General features: G+C 52.5%; 1 protein-coding gene across 2 annotated transcripts, besides 1 other annotated feature; it reads right to left on the bottom strand.

The window, feature by feature from the left end:
- On the bottom strand, positions 2,033–22,313 carry NYNRIN (NYN domain and retroviral integrase containing). 2 transcript variants are annotated; one of them, NM_025081.3, is made up of 9 exons: positions 22,230–22,313; positions 21,872–22,086; positions 12,789–13,447; positions 11,108–12,664; positions 10,110–10,240; positions 9,866–9,962; positions 8,218–8,319; positions 7,899–8,000; positions 2,033–6,720 (listed from the first exon to the last, which is right to left on the bottom strand). In NM_025081.3, exons 2-9 carry the CDS (start codon positions 22,067–22,069, stop codon positions 3,870–3,872), a joined length of 5,697 nt encoding a protein of 1,898 aa, NP_079357.2. In that variant the 5' UTR covers positions 22,070–22,086; positions 22,230–22,313; the 3' UTR covers positions 2,033–3,869. The 2 variants fall into 2 exon arrangements, with proteins under 2 accessions (NP_079357.2, XP_011535318.1); XM_011537016.2 differs by lacking the exons at positions 9,866–9,962; positions 10,110–10,240; positions 11,108–12,664; ... (1 more) ...; positions 21,872–22,086; positions 22,230–22,313 and adding an exon at positions 8,625–9,859.
- Positions 22,170–22,259: a silencer, noted in NCBI's record as "silent region_5642". NCBI's record gives its function as "represses an Ori minimal core promoter by ATAC-STARR-seq in GM12878 lymphoblastoid cells {active_cell/tissue: GM12878}" and the evidence as "EXISTENCE:reporter gene assay evidence [ECO:0000049][PMID:35858748]".

Below are 23,789 nucleotides of genomic sequence, written 5' to 3'. Positions count from 1 at the left end.
ACCTGTTACAAAGCTTTTGTCTTCCAGGTATGTTCACTTTCATTCATGAACACATGGACTTAGTAAATACTTGCTAGGAAAGCATGGTATAGCAAGGCTTAGGTGGACCCAACTTCACCAGATAGCTTATGTAAGTTTTAACAGGGGCACGGGATAGGAATATTCTTTATTTTTATTGTTTGCTTATGTCATGGGATTGTCTGGATACTGGCAACTTTGTAATTTCTCTGTTAGAGACTTGGGGAAGCCCTCCTGCCAGGGCCCAAATAAGAAGGAATAATTGTGATGGTGTAAACCAGAGAAGCAGTGACTGGTTGCCTAGAGCGTCCATGGTGCTTTACCATGGACAAAACTCTTTAATTCACCCCTCCAAAAATAGGAGGAATCTCAAACTTCTGTTCAGACCTGGTAGATTGTTGAACAGCAAAGAAGAAAAACCTCACTGTCAGAGGACTTAGAAGCCAGCGTGAGTAAAATCTGATTCTTGCTTAAAGTTATCTAGAGTAAAAAGTAATAACCAAAAGTAATAAATTGTTTGTAGTACAGGTCAGCAATGGAAAGGGTCAGCACTCTAAAGTGGAAGGCTGACTGGAAAGGTGGCTTGGCAAAATCCTATTACTTTTGGTGAAGGGGCTCAGGCAAGGCTTCTCTGACTGTCATGTGGGCTGAGACCCCAGGCCCCTGCACCATGGGCTCCTAGGCCACATTGTTTCCCTTACCACCCTGAACTGTATTTGTTTGTTGGATTGTCTGTCTCCCTCACCTGACTGTGGGCTGCAAAGAGGCAGAGACCGTGTCACTCCTGTTACCTGTTAGCCATCCCACACCTAGGCAGAGCCTGGCACATAGCAGGTGTCCTATAAATACTGAATGAACAATGGTATGCACAGGAGCTGGGGAGTTCTCAGGAAGGATGGTTCCCACCCCAACCCGTACGCCAGCCAGTGCTGAGCAGAACCCCGGGCAAGTGAGAAAGGCAGCAAAAAGCAAAGGCCTAAAGTCACGAAGCTTGGCCTGGGTTAAGAAGGTCTCTGATCCTGAGGGGAGAGACCAGCAAGAGTTCCCAGGGCAGGAAGAAGAGTAATGTTAGCTACATATGATGAATGCTATTCCATCCCAAGCCATACTGGCCTCTTCAAACAGATTATTTCATGTAATCCTTGAACCATCTCATAAATTAGGAATTGTTACCCTGTGTTTTATAGATGGGGAAACTGAGACCTCAGGAAACAGCCTGCATAGGTAGCAAATATAGATGCAAACCTAGGTCTATAATTTTTCCAGTAAAATGAAGCTGGTTCAGCACTAACACCATTCTCTCATCATTCATTTATTTTCTTTCTTTCATTCCTCCCTTCCTTCCTTCCTTCCTTCCTTCTTTCCTTCTTTCTTTCTTTCCTTCTTTCCTTCTTTCCTTCTTTCCTTCTTTCTCTTTTCTTTTTGAGATGGAGTCTCACTCTGTCACCCAGGCTGGAGTGCAGTGGTGTGATCTCAGCTCACTGCAACCTCCGCCTCCCGGGTCCAAGCAATTCTCCTGCCTCAGCCTCCCGAGTTTACAGGTGCCTGACACCACACCCAGCTGATTTTTGTATTTTTAGTAGAGAGGGGGTTTCGCCATGTTGGCCAGGCTGGTCTTGAATTCCTGGCCTCAAGAGATCCACCCACCTCGGCCTCCCAAAGTGCTGGAATAACAGGCATGAGCCACCGTGCCCTGCCTCATCACTCGTTTTCATTCCAACCCTGCCCACTTCCAAGACATTAACTGCCAAGGGTACCAGCTTGGAAGCCCAGAGGTGGGACTCTCCTTCCAGCCCTGCCATGAAGCAGCTATGGAGCCTTAAGCATATCACCCTCTGGGCCCTGGTCTCTTCATCTGTACAGTAAGAGCTTGGGGCAGATGGTCTGGAAAAGGTACTTTTCTTCAAATCTGCAAGTTTATCTGGGAAACATATAGCAGCCATACCCCATGACTGCCCCACACTCCTCATTCCCACAATTGAGACTGAAGCTAAACAAAGAACTGGACATCAGCTCCAGTTTGATTCGTTTATTGACAAATCAAATGAAAAAAATTCACTTAAAAGAAGGGTATGTGATCACAAATGTAGCTAACAGGGGGAACGCATACAGCACCAGGGAGGGAGAGTGAGGCTGGACATACCATTACAGAGAGGAGGAAGAGAAAGAATGGCGCGGGGGGCGGAGGAAAGAGAGCACCTGCCAAAAATCCCACACTTTCCACTTCTCAGCTATCACTCAATCATTTTTCTGGACAGGGTTAACAGCTAGAAATGGTTTAAGGGCAACATCCAGGTAGTTTGTCTGGAAGATCAGGGAGATGAAGAGTTGGAGAGAATGTGGGTGTAGCATTTTGAAGGATTCTCCAGCTTGAACCTGTTGCCAGAACCCTTTTCATGGTGAACTGGGAGTCAGGAAGCTTAATCCTGGTCTCAGCTCAGCCATGAACTTGCTGTGTGACTTTGGGTGAATCATTTTCCCTCTGTGATCCTCTTTCCTCTGCTGTAAAACAATCAAGTTGGCAAGTTCTCCACTGGCTCTAGCACTCTGCAATGCCAAGCGTTCTGGCAACCTGGGCTAGACCAGGAGACTGGCTCAGCTTCCGGAGAAATGAAACTACTAAGAAGGCCAGCCAGAGTGACGTGGCACTGGCCTTCACCTGGAGCCCACTTCCTTGGCAGCGGCAGCAATTCAGAGGGTGAGTGTACGCGCACACACCTGGAAGGAACTCACACTCACTGCAAGGGTGATCTCTGCAAAGAATGGCTGTGAGGGAGCCTGGGTTTTGCTCTACACAGAAGGCAGGTCCACAGGACTCGGGGGGTGATACAGATGAAGCAATCACACAATCTGTAGGGTCTGGGATGCAGGATACAGTGGAGGTAGAAGGAGCAGAGGACTGTAGGCTTTGGGATGGGGTTGGGAGGGGTTGGGAGGTAGAGCCATGCCAGCACTTCACCGTGTGCCACTCCTGTTGCAGACGCCCTGCCCCCTTAAAACAGAGGCCGGGGCCCCTGGGTCTAACAGAAGCAGCTCTTCAGATAGAGATGCCACACTTGGCATCAAGATCCTTGATTCCTGTGGGGTCAACACCATCAAAGCAGGGGTCAGGAATTGTCTCCATTGGCTGGAGTCAAATGAGGTAGGCCAACCCATTTCCCCCTTGCCCTTCCCATGCTGACAAGCTGGTGGCTTGTGGCTGGCCATCCTCCCACTCCAAGACACTGCCCTTGAGGCCTGGGAGGATGGCCAGCCCTGCCCTGAGAGCTGTGCAGGCCACACCTGGCTTGAGAAAGCTGACCGTGAGGCTAGGAGGCAGCGGCCTCCCCACAGCCTGCCCAGGCTTATGTCATCTGTGACAGCTCTAAGGGCAAAGGGTCCCCAAAAGAACAGGTTGGAGGGAGGAGCCCACATTTGGGGTTTCTGTATGGGAAAGGACTGTGGTTCCAATTCCAAGGTCAACAGCCACAGTTTCATGGCCAAGATAGATTCTTTCGTGAGTGTGTGTGCACACCACCACACACCTACATGTGAAGGGGAAAGAGGATACTTGGGGAGAAGACACTGAGCCTGGTATAGCCTAGAGGAGCACTCCATTTCCCAGTGTAAAACTGCCAGGGACCCATATCTGACAGCCTTTGGCAAATTCTCCAAGTACCCCAAACTGGGGATGTTTCCATGGGGATGCTGGTCCCTAGTTCAAGGCAATTCAGCAAAGCTTTATGAAGCAAGTTCTCTACAAAAGGCACAACTGAGGGCCCCCAGTGGACTGAGAGCACTGCTGGGACAGGGGGAGGCCTAGCAGCAGAAACCCACGGCCCTGGGGCAGGGGGCACCCCCGCTGCTCCCGCTCACTGCTCCAAGACCTTGAAGGACAGCGGGGTGCCACTCTTGGCAAAGGCCTTCATCAGACTGCTGGGATAGATGCACCCCAGCTTCTCTGGGGTTGGGAAGCCCCATATCCTATAGAGTGACAGGCTCAGCCGGTCCCCGATATAGAAGGGACCCACCCATTTGGCACTGCTGCCATTCCTGGGGAGGGACAGCAAAAGGACCTGGTCACCCACATTCCACTCCTTCTCCTGGCTCTCCCGCTTGAAACGCCTGTTCTCGGCCTTTTCACTCGCCTTGTCAGCCACCCTCCAGTGGAGCTCCAGCAGCTCCCCCACCAGCTGTAGCAGGAAGACGTCCATCTTGAGCCCTTCAATGTTTGCGCTGCTCATCTCCCACCACAGGGGCTCCGTGAGCCTTGACTCACCCCCGGTCAGGACCTTGAACGGTGTGGCATCAGTGGAGGAGGCCCTGAAGGCCAGGTGCAGCAAAGGCAGGGAGGCCGCCCACTTCTTCCCATGCAGGAAGATGAACTCCTTGAGGGCCCTCTTGAATTCCCAGTAGGCCCCTGAGCTCGTCAGGCAGGGGAACTGGAGGTCCCGACTCAGGGAGGCCACCTGGGCTCCCAGGGCCAGCCCACAGCTCACAAGGACGTGCCGGGCAAACTGGGGCCCCTGGGCTGCCTCCAGCCTCACAGGAACACCCCACCTTGCAAACACATGCTGAAGCAGCACCTGGGCCACAGCCGTGTGTGTGTAGGGCTTCAGGGGGAATGCCTCCACCCACCTGGTGTTTGGGTCAGCCACAATAAGTACATGCTTATGGCCCTCCTCACTTATGGTGACCGGGCCCACCACCTCGATCTGCAGGTTCGACCAGGGGGCGGTCGACCTGAGGGGCCATGGGGACTCAATAACCTTCAACTCGCTGCCTATGAGATTTCGGGGGATGCAGAACAAGCAGCTCCTGCAGTAATCTTTCACATGCTCCTGCATCCCAGGCCACCACCCCAGCAAACGCAACTTCTTGTAGGTCTCTTCGGGCCTCTGGTGGGCCCCCAAGGGAATGTCATGCACAGAGAAAATCAGATCCCTCCGGAGTTGCGTCGGGACTACCCAGACCCTGGGCTTCTTATCTCCCTTGAACATAAGCAGGCCACTCTCCTTGTCGAGGCTGAGTGAGTTAAAGGCAGAACTAAACGGTGAGGAGCCAGACAGTTTCTGCCCAGCCTGCAGCCTGGCAATGATGTCGGCCAGGGTGCTGTCACTCAGCTGTAATGCCAGCAAATTGGGCCTCTTGCCCATGGCATGGGGACTCACTGTAGGGGCTGGCACATCCTTTGGCAAACTCCACCACTGCCCACCCCCCTGGGCACCCTGCTTGGCCAGGGTGTCCACTGTCACAGCAAACAGAGAGCCCCGGTAGGAGGTTCGGTAGATAAACGGAAGGGATGAGAGGCCAGAGGTGAGGGATATAATGTAGGAGAGCAGGCTTGGGTGAGGGAGTGGAGCCCCATCAGAGGAGAGGAAGCCCCGAGCCCTCCAGAGGGGCAGGAGCTCCCACAGGAGGCTGAAGATCCAGTTGCAGTGAGTGAGGAAAACCACTGGGAGTGGGGACTGGCCAAAGCGCTCCAGGCCGCAGGCCACGGCTGCCAGGTGGGCATAGGTTGGCGTGTAAGGGGAGCAGGAGAAGGAAAGGGAGACAGGGGGGCTGGTGGGCGATAGAACATAGAGACCAAAGCCAGCACACCACTCATCCTCACGGTAGAAGCAGTAGCCCGACATGTGGATGCAGACGAACGTGGACAGGTCAGAGAAAGGCGGCAGAACCTGGAAGAAGCGAGGCATGGAGGCCGCGGGGGTGAGCAGGCGGTTCTCCCCCAGCAGGCCCTGGAGGAGGGCCAATTCCAGGGCCCTCTTGCCTTTGTCCTGAACCAAGAGGGACCATCGGATCAACCAAGCTTTGGAAACCCTGCGGCCCTCCCGCACCTCAGGGTCCGCAGTGGTCCGGGAGGCATAGGAAAGGTCCAGGACCACCGGGGTGTCTCCAATGCAGCGGGAAAAATGCTTGAGGGCCCAGGCCACAGCATAGGGGCTGTCACCCCCTGACTGGGGGCCCTGGCTCTCCTCATCAGGGAGGAGGGGTTTTGAGGTATAGGCTATGGGGTGCTTCCTCCCTGAGTGCTCCTGATGGAGGATGGCCGTCAGGGCCACGTGGCTCACGGTCACCTCCAGGCGGAAGGGCAGCTGGGAGTTGGGGGCCATCAGGCAGAGGGCAGACACCAGGGCTCGCTTCAGGGCCAGGAAGGCCTCCTCATGCTCCTGGTCCCACTGCCAGTCAGGCTTCTGCTTGAGGAGGCTGTGCAGGGGGCCCACTAGGGCTTCATAGTCAGGGATGGCATCCCTGTGGGAGTCCATGAAGCCCATGAAGAAGGAGAGTGCGGTGAAGTTGCTGGGGATGGTGAGCTGGGCCAGGTGGGCAAGAACCTGCTGGCAGGGAGCCTTTCCATCCCAGGGGATGCCCAGGTAGGGAGAAGCTGCCCCTGGCAGGAGGTCGATGTCCAGGGCCCCATCAGGGGGATCATGGAGGCTGAGGCACCGCAGGATCTCCTCCGAAAGGGACGGGCACTCCACCCTGAACACTGACGCCAGCGAAGAGTCAAGGTCGTCCTCCTCAGCCGCCTTCTGTGTGCCCTGCCCCTGTCTCTGCTCCTCATCCTGCCTCTCCTCCTTCTCTTCCCTGACTTCTTCCATATTCGGCAGACTCTCCAGGGGCCCAGAGTCAGCGTCATCACTCAGCTCAGTGACACTGGCTGAGCTGGGAGGAAGGGTCTTCCACACCTTCAGGAAGTTGCCAATGTCAGTGTCCAACCTACACCAAAACAGATGGAAGAGGGAAGGGCAGCCCCATCGTGAGCAATCCTCCAAAGGGAAAGCACCTCTGTGGAAACCCCATTCCAAAGTGTCCTGAGGCTGGGCCAAGTGCCAACAACTTGCATGGCATAGGCACAATTGGGCCCCTGCCTATAAACACTTCCTCTACCTCATGCATGGGCCAGACCCCCAGTATTAGAGGTTCATTTGTGCCTTGAAGACTCATCCAATCAAAACTTCACTGACCAAGTAACATTTAAACTAGCTGTAAGCCAGTGGTTTGATAAGAGATGACTGGCGGCTTCCAGCCTAACCCAGGATGAGCAATCCTGGAAAAGGGGGGGCAGTGTCACCAAAGTGAAGGAGAGCCTGACAAGGAGCTTGTGAGGACACAGCAGACAAACCTCATCCACATCACTTTTTTCCAAATTGGCAAGGTAAGACTGGGGGATCTGGCCCCAGGAAGCAGAGCTCTGCCCAGAAGATCCTGACAAAGGTTCCCTGCTGGGCCTAGGGAACTGGCAGGTGGGCAGCAGAGGATCCAAGTTACTGCAAACCAATTGTGCTGGCACCAGCAATGTGACCTTGGAAAAGTCACTTGAGTCACAGATTCCTCATCTATAAAATGAAGACAGTGGTCATTTACATATAACTCAAGTTGTGAGGATCGAATGAGACGATAAACATAGAAAAAAATCCTACTTGGTGAATACTCTAGACACAGCTTCCCTTGGATACAAAGAATAAGAGCAAGGCTGTTCACTGCAGCCTCGGACCCAACAGCATATAATGGAAGTGGTCAAATGGCCCTCAACAAGAAAACAGAAAAATCTATTGGGTACTCATGTAATGGAACACTATATGACCATTAAACAGAGCTACATGAATTAGCATAGGATACATCTGAAAAAACTAATAAATCATTGAGCACAAATGCCAGTTTGGAAGGATGCATGTAGAATGTTAAAACTACATTCTACATATGTGCTTTCATATATGTATTAAAACCTACTGTAAGTGGTTTATGAACACATAAACATGTGGCACAAGTATAAAGACATGAAAAAGTCAGATCACTCTGATCATTATTACGCACTAGATGTTGGCCAACACTAAGGGGAAGTTTCCGATCAGCCCCAGGAGGGCCTGGGAGGCTGGGGAGGTCTGACCTATTACCTGTTTGGCTTCTTCAGAAACTCATCCAAGGTGGGGCCATCACGGCCCAGGGGGTCATCAGGCACCATGAAGAGATTCCCCGCAAAGGTGAAAGGCAGCAAGCTGGGCCCAGGGGGAGAAGAGGCACAGTCACTGTGAGCCCTTGACCCACCCACACCCTGTTGTCGCCTGGCTTCTCCATGGCGCTGAGACCCACATCCTGGCAGGTGCTGGTGGGCACTACTCCAAGGCCTCTCTTCCAGCCCTAATCCCTCCCATGCCAGGGGCTGCCTGACATCCAAGGGGAAGGAATGGCTCAAGCCTCTGGGGACCATCTTACCGATCTTTGACCATCAGTTTCTTGGAACTATTCATCAGGATGTGAATCTGCTCATTGGTGACAATGATGCCATCTGTCTCCTCTGCCAGCTTTACCATGAACCTGCAGGGAGAGGGGAAGTCACTAATGACCCAGTAACTAGCCCCCTCACTTCCTGGGTCATCTGGGAAAATAAACTTGCAGCTTCACATTGAGGTGTGTCAGACAAAGACACTGCCCTTCCTACTCAGAAATCCAGGACCCCCGAGCCCATCCCCTTCTCTATGCAGCCATGTGAGATCACTGATAGGGATCAAGGTCATCCAAGGGTGACCTTGGATGCACGCATTCCCAGCTGTATATACAAACACACACCCCTGTTATACGCATAGGCACATACATAGACAAGCACAGACACAGAAACTCACATTCGTCCACATTCACACAGGTGTATTTACTGCTTCCGTTTTTTGCATCTGTAAAACAGAGATAAAATACCTACCCCATGTTGCTGTGAGGATTAAACTGAATGAGATAATACTTTTAAGTGTCTAGGTAAGTGCCGGCCACACAGCACACACACAAATATTCCATTATAATGCTTCACCAATGCATAATATTCATATACATGCCAAGACATACAGACATATATACGCTAACACATATAAGCACACATACCTGAATAAACAAATCCACTTTTCCAAGGATCACCTCTCCTCTAAAGAGGGCTGTGACCAGGAAAGAAAGCAAAGGCTACCTACTTCTCAGTAGTCCCTGAAACTTTCCATTCGGGCTCCCCAAAGCATGCTACTCTTCAAGTGCCCAGCAGAGGGACGGTCTGCGGAAAAGCCATCTTCCATCAAACCCACGCCTGAACTTAAAGGCACTTGAAGACTCAATGGAGGGGACCAGCTCTACAAGGAGGGATGAGTGAGGTTCTCTGCCCAGCCCTTCCCAGGCCTGGTTGGGTGCCAGGTCTTGGGAAGAGTGTGGAGAAACAGAACTTCTCCCTGCCTGGCATGAGAGTTGCCTATGTGAAACCAAGATCTCTGTCCGCCCAGCATCAACTCCAACCCAGGACCAGTGACTATGCCAGGGCCTTCCCTGCCCTAAGAGAGGCAGGGTCACAGGCTTCCCCTGAGCACAGAGGTCCTGCAGCCATGCTGAGGGGTGGGCGCTTAGGATTGACAAGCAGGCAAGCATTCAGGGTTTAGGCATTCAGGGCTCTCCTTTTCCAGAGCCCTGCCCAGGGCTCCATCCACATCAGCCATGCACAGACCTCCACCAGTGCCGGGGCTCCGAGGGAGGAAAAGACTAAAGCAGTCTGGAGACATGAGCCTCAACCGAAACGGGCACCCAAAACCCTGGGGAACCTCTCTGATGTTCACAGGTCATGGGGGAAGAATGCCTGTTAGCTAAGGCAGACGGACTCCAGAGTCCCAAAGTCAGAAACAACTCCGGGCTTGGGGAGAGCCAACCTCAAGCCCTTTCCTCAATGTGCCCATCCCTCTGCTGACAGATGCCCGTGCTCCACCCCACCCTCTGCACAACCGACACCCCCAACATGTTTGCCTCCATTTCCCCAGAGAAGACAGGCCGGACTCCACCTGACACACCAGCCAGGCCCAACTCCCTGAGCCCAGGAGGGCAGGCCTGGGGACCGGCACACCTATAATCGTAGGTGGTGATCTTCTTGCCATTCTCAAGCTGGGAGGGTGTGATTGAAAGCATCTTGAGCGAGTGTAGCTTCGTCAGAAAGTGGCTCTCTGGGGGTGAAAGGCAGAAGACAGAAATGGTCAAGGGAGGGCTAAGTGGAAATGGCCACTCTGGGGTGGCAGAGGGTCGGGGCAGCAAGGCAGAGAGAAGAAAGCTTGGTGACACTGTGGAGGCTGGGCAGGCAGGGGACACCTCACCTCTCACCCTCCGGTTCTTCTTCAGCTGCCAGGTGGGTACAAACACAGTGACCTCTCGGTGTCCCCGGTTCCAGAAAAACTGCACTGCCATGGCAATTCCTCGGCAGGAGAAGAAGTGCTGCAGGCCATGCCTGTGGGGTCGTGGGACAAGGAAAGACCCTGCCTCACCACTCCTCCCTCAGAGCCAGCCCTGGGGCAGCAAGCAAGCAATGCCAGCACCAAGGACACCAATGATGCCCTCTCCCCTTCCCTCCATACTCAGACATTCTGTGAGCACCTACTTGGTGCAGGGCACTGCCAGAAACTCTGTGTGTGTGCGCGTGCATGTGTGTGTGTGTGTGCATGTACCTGTGTGTACGCATGTGTGTAGGGACATTGAGGGCAAGAGGAAGAAGGCAGCCCCTCCACTCAGAGAGCTCAGTTGAGGGCTTAAAGCAAACAAAAATTCCCTGGCCACCGACAGTGTGCTGGGAGTGTGCTCTGCACAGATAACTACTCTATCATGTGGCAAATTATGTGGCATGCACATGTTTATGCTAACACCTCTACAGCAGTAAGTACTGTGGAGGAAGGGCAATCGCTAAGGGCCAGCAGAGTCAGGAAAAGAAATCTGTGCTGGGCCTTGAAGTTTGGGCTAAAAGTTTAAAAGCTGGCCTGGGAAGGGCATGGACCTTGGCAGTGGACACATCTGAGCCAAAAGGCCAGCTGGACCCCTTGCTGGCTCAGGGATCTTGGGCAAGATTTCCCACCTCTGAGCCTGCTTCAGCATCTATCAGACAGGGAAACCAGAAACCTGCCCTTGAGGGCTGCTATGAGGATTCCATGCACACTGCCTGGCACGCAGGAGCCATTCAACATGGATGGACCACTTCCCTCCCATCTCTTCCCCATGTCGCCCATAGGAAGGTTGGGAAGGGATGCCCACATTCTGTCCCCCAGGGATGCCCTGCCCCAGGTCCACAGCATCCCCAGCCCACCCCACGCCCGTGACTACTCACACCATGGCCACACTGCTGCCATCGATGACCACTCGCCGCAACCCCTGGTTTCCAGGTTCCCCTGACAGGTTCAGCTCGAAGGGTGTATTCAGGGCCTCGTGGTACCTCTGGAAGCTGGTCACTGTGCTGTTCGCTTGCAGGTGGCGAGGTGGCTGCCTTGGGGCCCCCTCCCAAGCCCCCAGGAGCCCCTCCATCTGAAACTGGTGCTTACTGCTGAGGGCCAAGGTGCCACTGGACTGGGGACCCTGCCTTCCAGCCTGCCCCTGGCCCTTCAGTAAGGAGACACTAGCCCTTGATGTAGGCTGGACCTCACTCAGAAGTCTGGCTACATCCAAGGTTGGCCCTGCATCCGTGGGCACCTTCTGAGCTGCAGGTGTTTTGGGAGCTCTGGAGACTCTGGGGGTCACAGGTACTTTGGGAGCTGCAGGTGCTTTGGAAGCTGCAGGTGCTTTGGAAACTGTAGCTGCAGGCCCGGCTTGAGCTTTGGGTGTTTTGGGACCTGCAGGTGATGTTTTTGCTACAGGCATCTTCTGAGCCTGGGGAGTTTTTGGAGTTGTGGGTTCCACTTGAGCTACCAACACTGGTTGATTCACAACTGTTTTTTGAGCTGTGGCCATCAGTTGAGCTGTTGGCTTTGTTGGAGCCAAAGGCACTTCGGGAGCTGCAGGCTCTGTGTGCACTGCCAGCATCATTCGAGATGTAGGCAGTTTGGGAGCTGCAGATGGCACTTGAGTTCTGGAGGGATTTTCAGCTTTGGGCACTGCTGCAGCCATGGGCACTTTGAGAGTTTCAGGCACTGTTTGAGCTCCAGGTACTGACTGATCTGTCAGCCCCCCTTGAGCCACGGGCTTCCCTTGCCCTGTTGGCAGCACTGGAGCGGGTCCCTCTTCCAGTCCCTTAAAATCTAACTGCATACTCCCTTGATCCCCCGGCTCACCTCCAGCCTGTAGTTGGGGTGTAGAGGTCAAGGGTGGCCCTATCTGTGGGAGATCCGAGCTAACTTTGTCTTTTACATCTGAGCTCCCAGGGACCACCAATAAACTCGTAACTTTTGGGGAAATCTCTGGCCTTGGGCAATTCTGCAGGGCTGCTTCTCCTCCCAGCCCCCCATCTGGTCTACCAGCTGGGCTTTCTGCACTAGGCAGAGGAGCCAGCTCCTTCTGCTTCCACTCCAGATTTAAGGGCAAAGGATTCTGCCCTGGCAGCTTCAACTGAATGGGGCCCAGAGGTCTCTGCCAGAAGGGGAAATTGAAGCACGCCTGGGACAGGAGCCAGGCCAGATGTAGAGAATGCAGCTCATTGATCCTCCAGAAGGTTGCAGCAATAGCCCCCGGCCACAATGGCCCAAAGGCTGGCCCCGGGGTCCAGGCCTTCCAGGGTGGGCACACACCCAGGGCTGATACTGGAGGTTGGAAGAGGAGTTTATCTTCTATCTTCTGGACCTGCCTTTGCTTCAACAAGGCTTGTGTGTGGTTCGTGGAGTCCTGGCTGCTGGTGGCTTGCACTGTCCCTTCCTCTTGAGCACTGTCCATACCATCTTGGTTGTTGGAACCGACCCTGGAGGAAGCCCAAGTTCATTGAAAAGGTGGAAGGCCAGTTTGGTCCCAAACTATTACTATTTCCTTAGGGTAGGGGAGCAGGGGTAGGATCAGAGAAGCCAGGCTCATTCTCCAGAACTTACCGTACCAGCTGGTTTGCTGCCTCCTGCGGTGTGCTCTGGGCTGTGATCAGGGACCCAGTGGCTCCCAGGCTAGATAATCTCTTTGAATTTTCTGGGCCCCTGTTCTGGAGGGTCCCCATGTCCACAAAGGGTCCAGGACTCTCTCCCACGGACACCATGGCTGGGGCTTCCTTCTGCTGCTGGGGAGGGCAGATTAGAACCTCCGGATCGGAGTGGGAGTCAGAGATGCCGAAGCGGCTGAGCCACTCGATGATGTCTTCCTTGCCCGCAGCATCCCGCACCAGGCTCAGCAGCAGCTCCTGGACCGCTGGGGGCAGCTGCAGTAGGTCCCCTGCATGCTGGTCACCACGGATCCAGACCAGGGCCCCAAAGGCCCGGGTCACCTCAGCCTCCCAGATCCCCCGGGGGGTCAGCAGAGGGGCAGGGCCCCAGCGCAGTCGCCCCACCAGCTCCTCCAGCCAGTTCTGTGTCATGATGAAAGACTCAGTCAGCCCGCCCACCATCAGGGAGCCAGGGGGGCCAGGCACCAGGTAGGCAAGGGTGCTCCAGCAGAGGCAGTCCAGGAAGAGGCCTTGGGCCCCAAGGAAGGCACAGTGCAGGATCGGTGGGTAGCGAACCTCTTTCCACAGCTCTGGGCTGCACAGGCCCTTCAGGTATTCCTGGGCACAATGGGGAGAACACAATGAAGTCAGCCCGTTGGGGGCCTGCCCCTGGATCTGCCCTCGCCACCCAAAAGGCCAGCCCCTCACTAACCATGTGGCCCCACCACTACCACCCCCCATCCACCATGAGCCAAATGACTCCCCCATGGCCAGCCACTCTCTCCCTGGTCCTGCACCCTCACACACCCATTTCTTTCCAGGGAACACCAACAGAACAGGGAAGCCTGGGAGAGAGGAGGGAAAGAACCCAGGTTGCAGCTCCAACTCGACCTCAACTGATTAGGTTAATTGTGGGGCATCTATCACCTTCTCAGCACCGCAGTCTCTTCACCAAGAAAAAGAAAGGTTAAACTGGATGCTCCTGAGGTCTAGTCCCAGTCTGGCATTCCTGAATTGTGTGACAGCTGGGGAGAAAGTGGCTGCACACTACTGGGCACCCTCCATAAGCTAGGAACTATGCAACCTGTGGCAAGTTATTAATCACACAACACGCCTGCCCCCGTGCCTGCAGTTCCTCCTCTGTAAAATGGGAACAGTAATAGTTCCTGCCTCATTGGGCCACTCTGAAGCTTCAGTGAATTAATACGCAGAAAGTACTGAGGATGACACCTGGCACAGCCTGTTCCCATTTTGCAGGCTGAGAAGAGCTATGCAGCTTGCCCAAGGGCACACAGCTAGAGGCTCTGATACTAGAAATTTTTCCACCTCCTCTGGCAGACCACAGTGACTACAGGGTAATCATGTGAGACTCGAGCTTCATCCCCCTCCAGAATGCCTCTAGCACAACCTGTACCCCTAATCATAGTAACTCTGTTGCCCAGAGGCAACAGAGCAGGAGATAAGCCACTGGGCCAGTGTCCAGGGGAACCCCTGCACCCGCACATACACACAATAGCTAAAGAGAAGGAAGAACTCTGGCTTTCTGGGCAGACCAAGTCCTAGAGTTCACAGAGCTCACAGGGCACACACTTGCCATCTTTAGCAGTGGCTGGGGTGGGCGAGGTTGGGGTTTCTCCACTCTGGCTGAGTTCCATCTGTGCGGTCCCATGAGCTCTCGCTCCAATCAGCCACCCCATGTGGACTTCATATGCCCCCATGCCCCTCCACATCCCCTTTCTTTGATAGTCATCCCTCTCATCCCTCTTCCTGCTTTCCCCTGGCAGTCCCATACTCCATTTTGGATCTCCAGCAGCGATCCTGAAGACCACCCAGGTGCCTCTGCTCAGTCCCCGGGCCATCTTTCCCGGCTCAGGCCTACGTGTCCCTCTTCCACCTGGCCGAGGCCACAGACCTGCAACTTCTTCCTCAGAGCCTGAAATACATGTCTAACCCCTTTTCAATCAGTTCAAAACCAGCTCAAAACCTGATGGACATCCCAAGCCAACCCCTCCTACCCCAACCTCATCTGGTCCCACTGCCTAGCAAGGTTAAATCTGAGCAGGTGTGGGCTGTCTCAGACCTTAACAAATATTCCCCCACCCCAGGCACCCCCATTTCAATGACCGGAAAACAACATGAAAAATGGAGAGATGTGCTGGGGAAGAAGATTATGGGTGGCTTCTTTCTCTTTCTGCAGAGAGCTTAGAATATTTATGGTTCCATCAACTGTCCAATATTTTATTTTATTTTATTTTATTTTATTTTATTTTATTTTATTTTATTTTTTGAGGCAGAGTCTCACTCTGTCACCCAGGCTGGAGTACAGTGGCACAGCTAGAGGCTCTGATACCAGAATTTTTCCACTGGAGTGATCTCAGCTCACGGCAGCCTCCGCCTCCTAGGTTCAAGAAATTCTCCTGCCTTAGCCTCCCCAGTAGCTGGGATTACAGATGTGCACCACCATGCCCGGCTAATTTTTGTATTTTTAGTAGAGATGGGGTTTTGCCGTGTTGGTCAGGCTGGTCTCGAACTCTTGACCTCACGCGATCCACCCGCCTCAGACTCCTAAAGTGCTGGGATTACAGGTATGAGCCACCGTGCCCGGCCCGATATTTTAAAATTAAGAAATATATAGGAACTGTGATAATTTTTAAAATAATAAATATGAACTAATATTTAGTGAGAGCTTATTATGTGTCAGGCACTTTGCACACATTATCTTATTTATTCCTCTCTCTGCCCTTTAAGGAAATACTATTATCCCCATTTTAGATGAGCAAGGAAGGCCATATGTCCAAGATCACACAGTTAGTAGGCTGGGATACTCAGGCACTCTAGCTCCACAGTCGGGGGTCTTCACCATGATGCCGTCTATACTGTAGAGGGAGAGAAGATAAGGAAACAACAGGCATTTACAGCCTGAAAATACCTGAACAGCTTTCCTGCCTAAAGCCAACCCAGACCTTCTTCCTCCAAGAGGAGAAAAAGTAGAGAAGAAGAGGCAGGAACAACTAACAACTAGGTAGAAAGATGATACAGAAGAATAGAAAAGGACACAGAAAAAGAGCACTGTATTTGTAAGAATATATTGTCCAATACCCACAGGTCGTTAGTCAACTTGTAAGTTAAATAAAAGCATTTATATGACATATTTTAATATTATTCTGTACTTGTCAAGGTGCTTTATTACTTAACACCTAACTTAGGGTTCTCCTTTCTCATAAGTCAGTTATCATTCATTGTCTACTTTCCAGAACCACCCCAATTTACACTGCAGGATACTCAAAAGGCTCAGAAAACAACAACAAGAAACTCTGGAATTGGAAGTGAAGGGGAACATGAAAAACCAGGTTCTTTGAGGAGCAGTTAGATCTGGGAGCCCAACCACTCCCAACACACATACACACACACACACACATTCACACACATTCACACACATTCACACACACACATTCTCTCACACACACACACACACACACACACACACACACAGGCTTGGCAAGTAGCTTCCCGCTCACTGGAGGGCTGTTCTCCAGGGAGTACAAAACAAGGTCTTAGGAGTCGAGGTTGATCAGCATAATCGAAGGTGTGAGCACCACACAAAAAAACATGGAGGGAGTGAGGAGGGCCAAAGAATGATGTATACAATGCAAGCTAAACGCAGAGAAACTCATTCTTCCCACTCAGAGATTTGCTTGGCAGCCAGACCCTGACCCTCCAGGCCAGGGAAGCAGGCATACATTCTGGAAAACCTGGCCAGCCCAAGAGCAGAGACTTAAAGATCACAAAACGGGGTCCCTAACCAACAGCACCTGCAAATCTCTGTACAATCAAGCTCAAAACCAACAAGTCTTGCCCACAGCCTCCACTCCCAATCAGCTTTTTGTCCTTCACTCTTTATCATGCAAGGATTATCAGGCTTGTGAGGAAAACTTCTAATGTGAAACACAGAGGACAAACCATACAGGAAAACAAAAAAGCAACCTGAAAGAAGAGAAACTAGGGGGGAGAAGAAAACTTCAAAAAGCTTACTATCATTTCTATCCTCAGAGAGGTAACAAAGAATATGGTAGACACTAAACAAGAATAGAATACATACGTTTCAAATTGGATTTAAAAAGCGTAGGATACTATTTTTTAACAGAGAGAATATAAGTGACTTCTAGACATTAAAAATTTGATGGCAGAAATGAAAGACCCAAGAAAAGGCTTCAAAGATAAAATTAAGGAAATCTTCAGAAAGCAGAACAAAAAGTTAAAGTTGAAAAAGAGGAGAAAACATAAGAAAAGCAGAGGACTTCCAGAAAGAGAGGACAGAGATAGCACAGGAGAGGAAATCATCGACTAAATACTTCCCCACATTTCCCAGATCTGAGGAACATGAGTGTCCAGATAGAAGGCCCCCTAAGTACAACAAGAGTGCCTGACAATGGAGGAAAACAGAACCGCACAAAGGGGCCTCACTGGGAGACTGCAGAACATTGGGGAAAACTGACAACTTCCAGAGAAAAAAACATCTCACACAAATGACCAGGGACCAGAACAGCTTCAGGCTCCTCCAAATGGAGCACAACCCTCACATTTCTGAAGGAAAATAATTTTCCTTTTATAATTCAATATCAGCCAAGCTCTCAATCAAATATCCTTTGGCTATGCAACGTGGACATGCAACCTCAGCATTTTTCCTCCTGTAAAACTTTTCCCGGGAAGCCACTGGAGAGCAGTTTTCCAGCAAACCAAGTAAGAAAGAAGCAAAGACCATCTCCAGGATGACGGTGAAGAGAAATCTCAGAATTTATTCATCCATTCGACAAATAATTCTTGACTACATGCCAGGCACTGTTTTAGGGTGACAATGGTCATTACACAGGACAGCTAGTTCAGATTGGAGGGTATGACTCAAGAGACAGGCATGTTGAAAGCAGGCATCTGCATACACTTTGCTGCTGCACCATCTTTTTAACTTGAGGCTACAGAGGGATGTGTTCCATCAACCCAAGAAAGAAAAAGTTTCAAGGTCCAGGACATGAGTATCTAGCAAAGAAAAAAGGCAAAGGATGCCAAGAACGACAGCTGTGTCAGCCTGGAAAGCAACTGACCAGACAGGAGAGACGGCGCCAAGAAAAAATTTAGAACCAAAAGAACACCTTGAACTGATAGACTGACCTTGTAGAAAACTGTACTGAGAGGCTACTGGAAGTGGTAAGAATTAACAATAGGTACAAAGAAAGGCAAATTGAAAAACAAGGAGTGCTTAACCTCAATGACCTCAGTAAAACCCAAAAAGTAAGAAAGAAAACAAAATCATAGTACACTTCAGTGCTTCGATGTGAACGCTATGTGCAAGGCATAATGAGGCAATGCTAAACGTAGATTTAGCAGGTAATTGAAACAGAACTATCTTGAGAAGAGGGGCTGGCCGTGAAAGGGAGCTCAATCCTCACATACGATAATGGGACCAAAAAAAGATAGCAGCAAACGTCAATTAATTAAAAGACAATAGTGTCTACATATTCTTTTAGAAATGTGGAGATGCGTAAATGCCAGAGCAAATACTGTCAGTGGGGATGGTTACTGAAGGAGGAATTGGGAGGGCCGGGGCAGGGAACCTCTGTGTGCTCTTCTAAGCCTTTTGGTAAAATTGGACTTTTCAAATGTGTATTACTTTGATAAAAGAAAATTTAAGTTTAAAGAAAAAGAAGTATTCAGTGCCCACAACACAAGCAGGTGTCCTGGTAAATGTTTAACAATCAGCTGGGGGTGGGGGGTAACCTTGATTTGTCGCATTTGCCAATTTCTGTGGCATAAATACTCCCACCATGGCTGTAAATACTCCTCCACTCACTTGCACAATTCCCGAAATTTTAACAGTGGGTCCATAGGAGCCAACTCCAGGCACTGACCGCAACCAACTCTCAGGGTACTGCTCACAGTTAGTGTGCAGCAAAGATAGTTCAACTTCCATCTGACAGCCAAGCCAGATGTCAGCAGGCCACACCCTGTCCCAGAGCTCCAGAACCCAGTCTCCAGAAGGTACTCTTGCCCACCACCACTGCCTTTAGGCTCCCCATCACCTCCCGCAGTGGTCACCTCTCTTCTCTGCCGCCCACCCCATCCTCACCTCACTGCCAAAGGGGAGAAGGGTGGAGCAGGGCTTGTCCCGGGCCTCTTCTGATCATTACTAAAACCCGCCTCTCCACTCACTGATTTCACCTCAGAGAGGCCTCCCCAGTGTTTGTTTTGCTGCCTGGGTATGTGTTTCACAGTAATGTCTTCAGTGTTCTTTAATCCCACCACAACAAAACAATTTTAAAGCACTCAAGATTTACAGAGATTTTCCTGAGAAACCAACCACATAGAAACACACTCAGGCCCTTCTCTAGATGAGCCTGTATCCTTCTCGACCCCTCCTCCCCTCAGACCCCAACAAGCCACCCTCACCATCAGCCCTCCCCCAGTCCTGCAACCTGTAGTCTCCCAGAGTCCTCTCTGCCTGTTGGCCTATGTTCAGTATGCCACTAACAAAGTGCATGATTCTGTGTCCCTACAGCTGAGATTGGGGCCAGCCACGCTGCCTCCCTATGAGAACCACAAGACATCCTTACACTTGGGAAATGTTCATGTGTCAGATCGCTGGACCTCAGACAGCATTTAATCCAAGACTTCCACTTTACAAACAGGGAGATCGAGACTCAGAGAGGGAAAAGGACTTGCTCAAAGTTACGCAGCTAGTCAAAAACAATAGTAGCTAACATCTATACTCTATAGCTCTCCACATTTTATAACAGTATTGTAACATGCATGATTTCAGCAGACTCTCACAAACTCTTCATGAACCAGGTATTATTATAGTCTGTTCCATAGATGAGGGAAATGGCTCAAGAGAGGATAAATTATTTGATCTGATCACCCAGTTCAGATAGTTAACAGGTAGCAAACCCCAGTCTCAAACTCTCCTCACCATACCCCTCCTATCTTGGTTGTAACTTGGTGACAGCATATCAAACCCAGATCCCCTAACCCCTGAGACAAAACTTTAACCCCCCCCGCCCCTCACCTTCCCTGTCCTCCTTCTCCAAATTGCCAACAAAGTCTCCTTTATGGTCATTGTGTAAAATAAGGCAGGGAGCTACCCAGAATCCCCTCACGCTGGGTTCCCACTTTTCAACAATGCCTTTCCCAAAGGGAAGACAAAGGGGGAGTGGAGGAACAGGGCTAGGAATCAAGGGAGCCACTGATTCCATTAGCTGGGCCTACAGTGGGAGCCTGAGGTGTGAGATCTGCGGTCCGAAGAACCCTGAAGCAGCAGAGGGAGACGGAGCAGGTAGGCCTGGAGAAGCCAATCCAGGATTTGAGCAAGGAGGGGGTGGCGGGGGTACCTCCGAAAGTGTGAGTCCTGGCCCGGCACAGTGGTTCATGCCTGTAATCCCAGCACTTTGGGAGGCCAAGGCGGGTGGATCACCTGAGGCCAGGAGTTCAAGACCAACCTGGCCAACATGGTGAAACCTCATCTCTACTAAAATACAAAAATTAGCTGGGCATGGTGGCACGTGCCTGTAATCCCAGCTACTCAGAAGGCTGAGGCAGGAGAATCACTTGAACACAAGAGGCAGAGGTGGAGGCTGCAGTGAGCCAAGACCACGCCATTGCACTCCAGCCTGGGCAACAGAGTGAAACTTCATCTCAAAAAAAAAAAAAAAAGAAAAAGAAAGTGTGAGTCCCCTAAGAGGGTGAGCTGCTGCCTTTCAAAGTAACAAAAAGATTAAGAACCCAAAGAACCCAAAACACTCCTCTTGTTAGCCTACCCTACCCCGGCTTCTAAATGTCTTCCTCTCAAGGCCTCCAGTACATATGTTCTTTGGGAAGACACCCCTTCCCCCTCCTAGCACCTCTGTCAAAATTGGAAAAACTGCTGACCTAGCAGCTCCACAGAGGGGTTGAGGGAGGAACTTCCCAGCCTGCCTGCCTACCAGGCTGGCTGGCCGAGTTCTGGGCCTCCCCACCCATGGCCTTGACCAATTAAGATATAGGTATAAACCCATCTGCAGTAGGTGTGCGTGGTGAAGGGGAAGGTGGTCTGGGGCAGAGGGAGGCTGTGGCATTCCTACAAAGAAGAAGTAAGATAAAGGAATCTAAGGGAAGAGGTAAACCTTGGGGGACAGTGGAATCTGACAGGCCCAAGGGGAGGAAAAGCTTGTGAGAGAAGCCAGGGAGATTGCAAGAGAGGCGCACTGTGATCTGGCCTGTCCAAGGTCCAGCCCCACATAGCAAGCCCTTTCATCTGAAAACCCATAGCCCTCCTCCCAGACTCCCACCCATCTCCAAGGGCTGGGAATCTGGGAAGAGGGCTGCACCCCACTCTGAACCCCTGCAAGAAGCTGAGTGGCATCAAGAGTGTGGGGCAGGGAGCCCAGAGCCCTGGGTTCTGGTCCAACCCCCACCACCTCACCTACCTGACTCTGAGCACTCAGCCAGGCCCCTTACCCTCTCTGGCCACCAGTACCTCATCTGTAAAATGCCAGTATCACTCTAGAAGCATCTCTAAAGGCCCCTCCAGTCCTAGTACTCAGAGGCTCCAAGGGGCAGCCCAGGATTTAAGGAGACTTAAAAGGAGACAGAAGGACCTGGGCCTTTCAGTCTTGGTGGAGAACAAAGAGGTGTGTTGCAGAGGCCACAGAAATACAGCGCCTTGAGTTGCTCCCCAGATGGAAAAGTGGGACTGCTGATGCTGGGGCCCTGGCCAGGGAAGTCTCATGGGGGACACACACCGAGGAGGTGCTCTCAGTGCACTTGAGGGACAGAGGTGACACGTAGGGAAGGGGTGGGGCAGGAAAGGAAGGAACCAGAGGGAAGAAGCGGGCATGGAAGGAGCGCAGGCTGATCTGGCGAGGCAGGAGGATGGCCCACTACCTGCCTGCCACACTGCCAAATCCAGGCGGGGGCAGGGTGGGTGGTGTCTCTGCGGACCACCATCTCCCCAGGGGAAGGGGAGAGAGTGATCTGGCTGGAAGAGATGGGTGGGGGTGGGGAGAAGCTGTTTACCTTGGCTTTGCCCATGTTCTCTCGGGGCCCCTCGAGCTGTAGCCAGAAGTAGGGGGTGTCCGGGCGGCTCTGGAAGGCGTTCAGCTTGACCCTAAAGATGCGCTGCACTTGCAGCCGCTGCCGCTGCACCCGAGGCTTCGATTTTGTCTGCACCATGAACCATTCCTGCGCCGGAGGATCGCCCCCAGACAGGAGCATGGCTGCCCCGCCCGCTCCTGGAACGAAGGAGACGATAGTGTCACCCGGGTCTCGGGGCGGCAGGCGCCCCAGCCCCCAGCCCCAGGCGCCTAAGCCACGCCCCCTCCTCCCCGCGGCGCGCCCCCCGCACGGCCTCCTTCCTCCAGGCGGCGGGACCCACCCCGCACGGCTCGGGCGCCCGCCCTCTGGAGCTTGGTCCCCTTCGACCGCTGCTACCGCGACGAGCTCTTCCTGCCCGGGGTTGTAGCTAGGGGTGGGACCGGTCGGGCTCCTGCCGCCCTTCCCTCCGCCCCCAGCCTTCCCCCTCCAGCACTCTGCCAGCCCCTCCTGGATCAACTCTGTCTCCGTCTGCTGGATAGCTTAAAGGGGCGCGGAGGAGAGGGCGGGGGAGCCGGCGGGGGGGAGGAGGGGGCGGGGAGGGTCCCGGAGGCCTCTGCCTTCCACCCAAGTTTTGGGCCCAGAGCCAGAATCCAGGGGTCAAAGTTAGTTTCCTTCCACGTTCCCCTCTTGCTAGTGGAAGGACGGGGAAGAGGAAGGAGGGGAGGATTGGTTTCCGGCACCCTTTTTTGAGATTTGGAACAAGGATCTCTCCCCTTTACCCCCACCTCCCCCCTACCCCCAACAGCCTCTCCCAGGCGTCCCAAGAGAACGGGGACCTCGGCCACTCCTTCCCTGGGAGGAAAGGGTTAAGGTAGAGTAGGGTGGGGAGCCCAGGGAGGCCGGGGCCTAAGGAAACTCTGGGCTGGAGACCAAGCAGGAAGGAAAGGGTAACAGCACTGACTCCCCACCCCCCACTGAAGTCTAGGGACAGCTTGGAGCTGGCGGGCAGCCCAGACCCTCCTGAAGCCCCCCAGGGCTGGAGGGGCGGGAGAGCTGCCAGAGTTTTCAGACTTGAGTTGTTTATGAAAGCCCTTTTTAGCACGTTTGAGTTATGCTGTGAGGGGAAGGAGATAGAGGGTCCGGGCAGTAATGTAACCTCCGAGGTCTCCTGCAACCCCTGACCAGTCAGCCAATTGGCATCAGTGGTCTGGGACTAACCCTGGGCTAGGGGACCACCTTCAACACCCAGGCTCTGCTCACATCCCCAGCACAAAGAACACCTTATACAGCCTTGGGCCTGAATAGAACCTGGCCCTGTGGAGGGCAGGGCCTATGTCTCGGCCTCAATGATCTTATTTTGCAGACTAAAACGAAGAGCCACAGTCTGATAGACACAAGTATACCTATGAGGTCAAAAGGCATCAGACTTTAAATTAGGCCTGCCCTGGAACATCTGGTCTGCAGGGTCGTTATGTGTTTGTGTGCAGGCAAGGGACCAGGAGCACCCCACTGCAAGGAAGGGGCCCAATTGGGGGCAGGGAGGGGCTCACGCTACTCCTGGTCTGGACTGGACTCAGCCCACCACACCCTACTTCATCCTGCACACCTGATTCTTCTCCCTAGATTGGAATCCAGAAAAGGAAAAAATGATCTGTGTTACTTCTGGCTCCAAAGCCTTCTGCTCCACCCTGCCTGGTCCTCCTGTCCTGCCCCTCTCTAGTACCTTGAAGCAGAAGGCCTTTGGGCTGAATCTCCATCTCAGGCCTTCTTTCCACCTCTGACTGCTCTCCTTTTAGCAAAAGAGTCTCCTGCCTTATTGTGCTTCAGTTTCTCTTACAAAACAAGGTGAGAGCCACATAACCCTGCTCCCCACTCCTTCCCTGAATGAATACTTAACTCT

The sequence above is a fragment of the Homo sapiens genome, chromosome 14 (genome assembly GCF_000001405.40).
Source record: "Homo sapiens chromosome 14, GRCh38.p14 Primary Assembly".
Taxonomy (NCBI): domain Eukaryota; kingdom Metazoa; phylum Chordata; class Mammalia; order Primates; family Hominidae; genus Homo; species Homo sapiens.
The sequence above is the reverse complement of the archived record's forward strand: the minus strand, read 5'-3'. Positions and strand labels throughout refer to the sequence as shown.

Coding starts and splice junctions, on each gene's coding strand:
- NYNRIN (NM_025081.3), bottom strand. CDS start 22,069: ATGCTCCTGTCTGGGGGCGATCCTCCGGCGCAGGAATGGTTCATGGTG. Junction 10,241..11,107: donor GGCAGCAGTGTGGCCATGGT/GTGAGTAGTCAC, acceptor ACGACCCCACAG/GCATGGCCTGCAGCACTTCT. Junction 8,001..8,217: donor AAACTGATGGTCAAAGATCG/GTAAGATGGTCC, acceptor CCCTGGGCCCAG/CTTGCTGCCTTTCACCTTTG.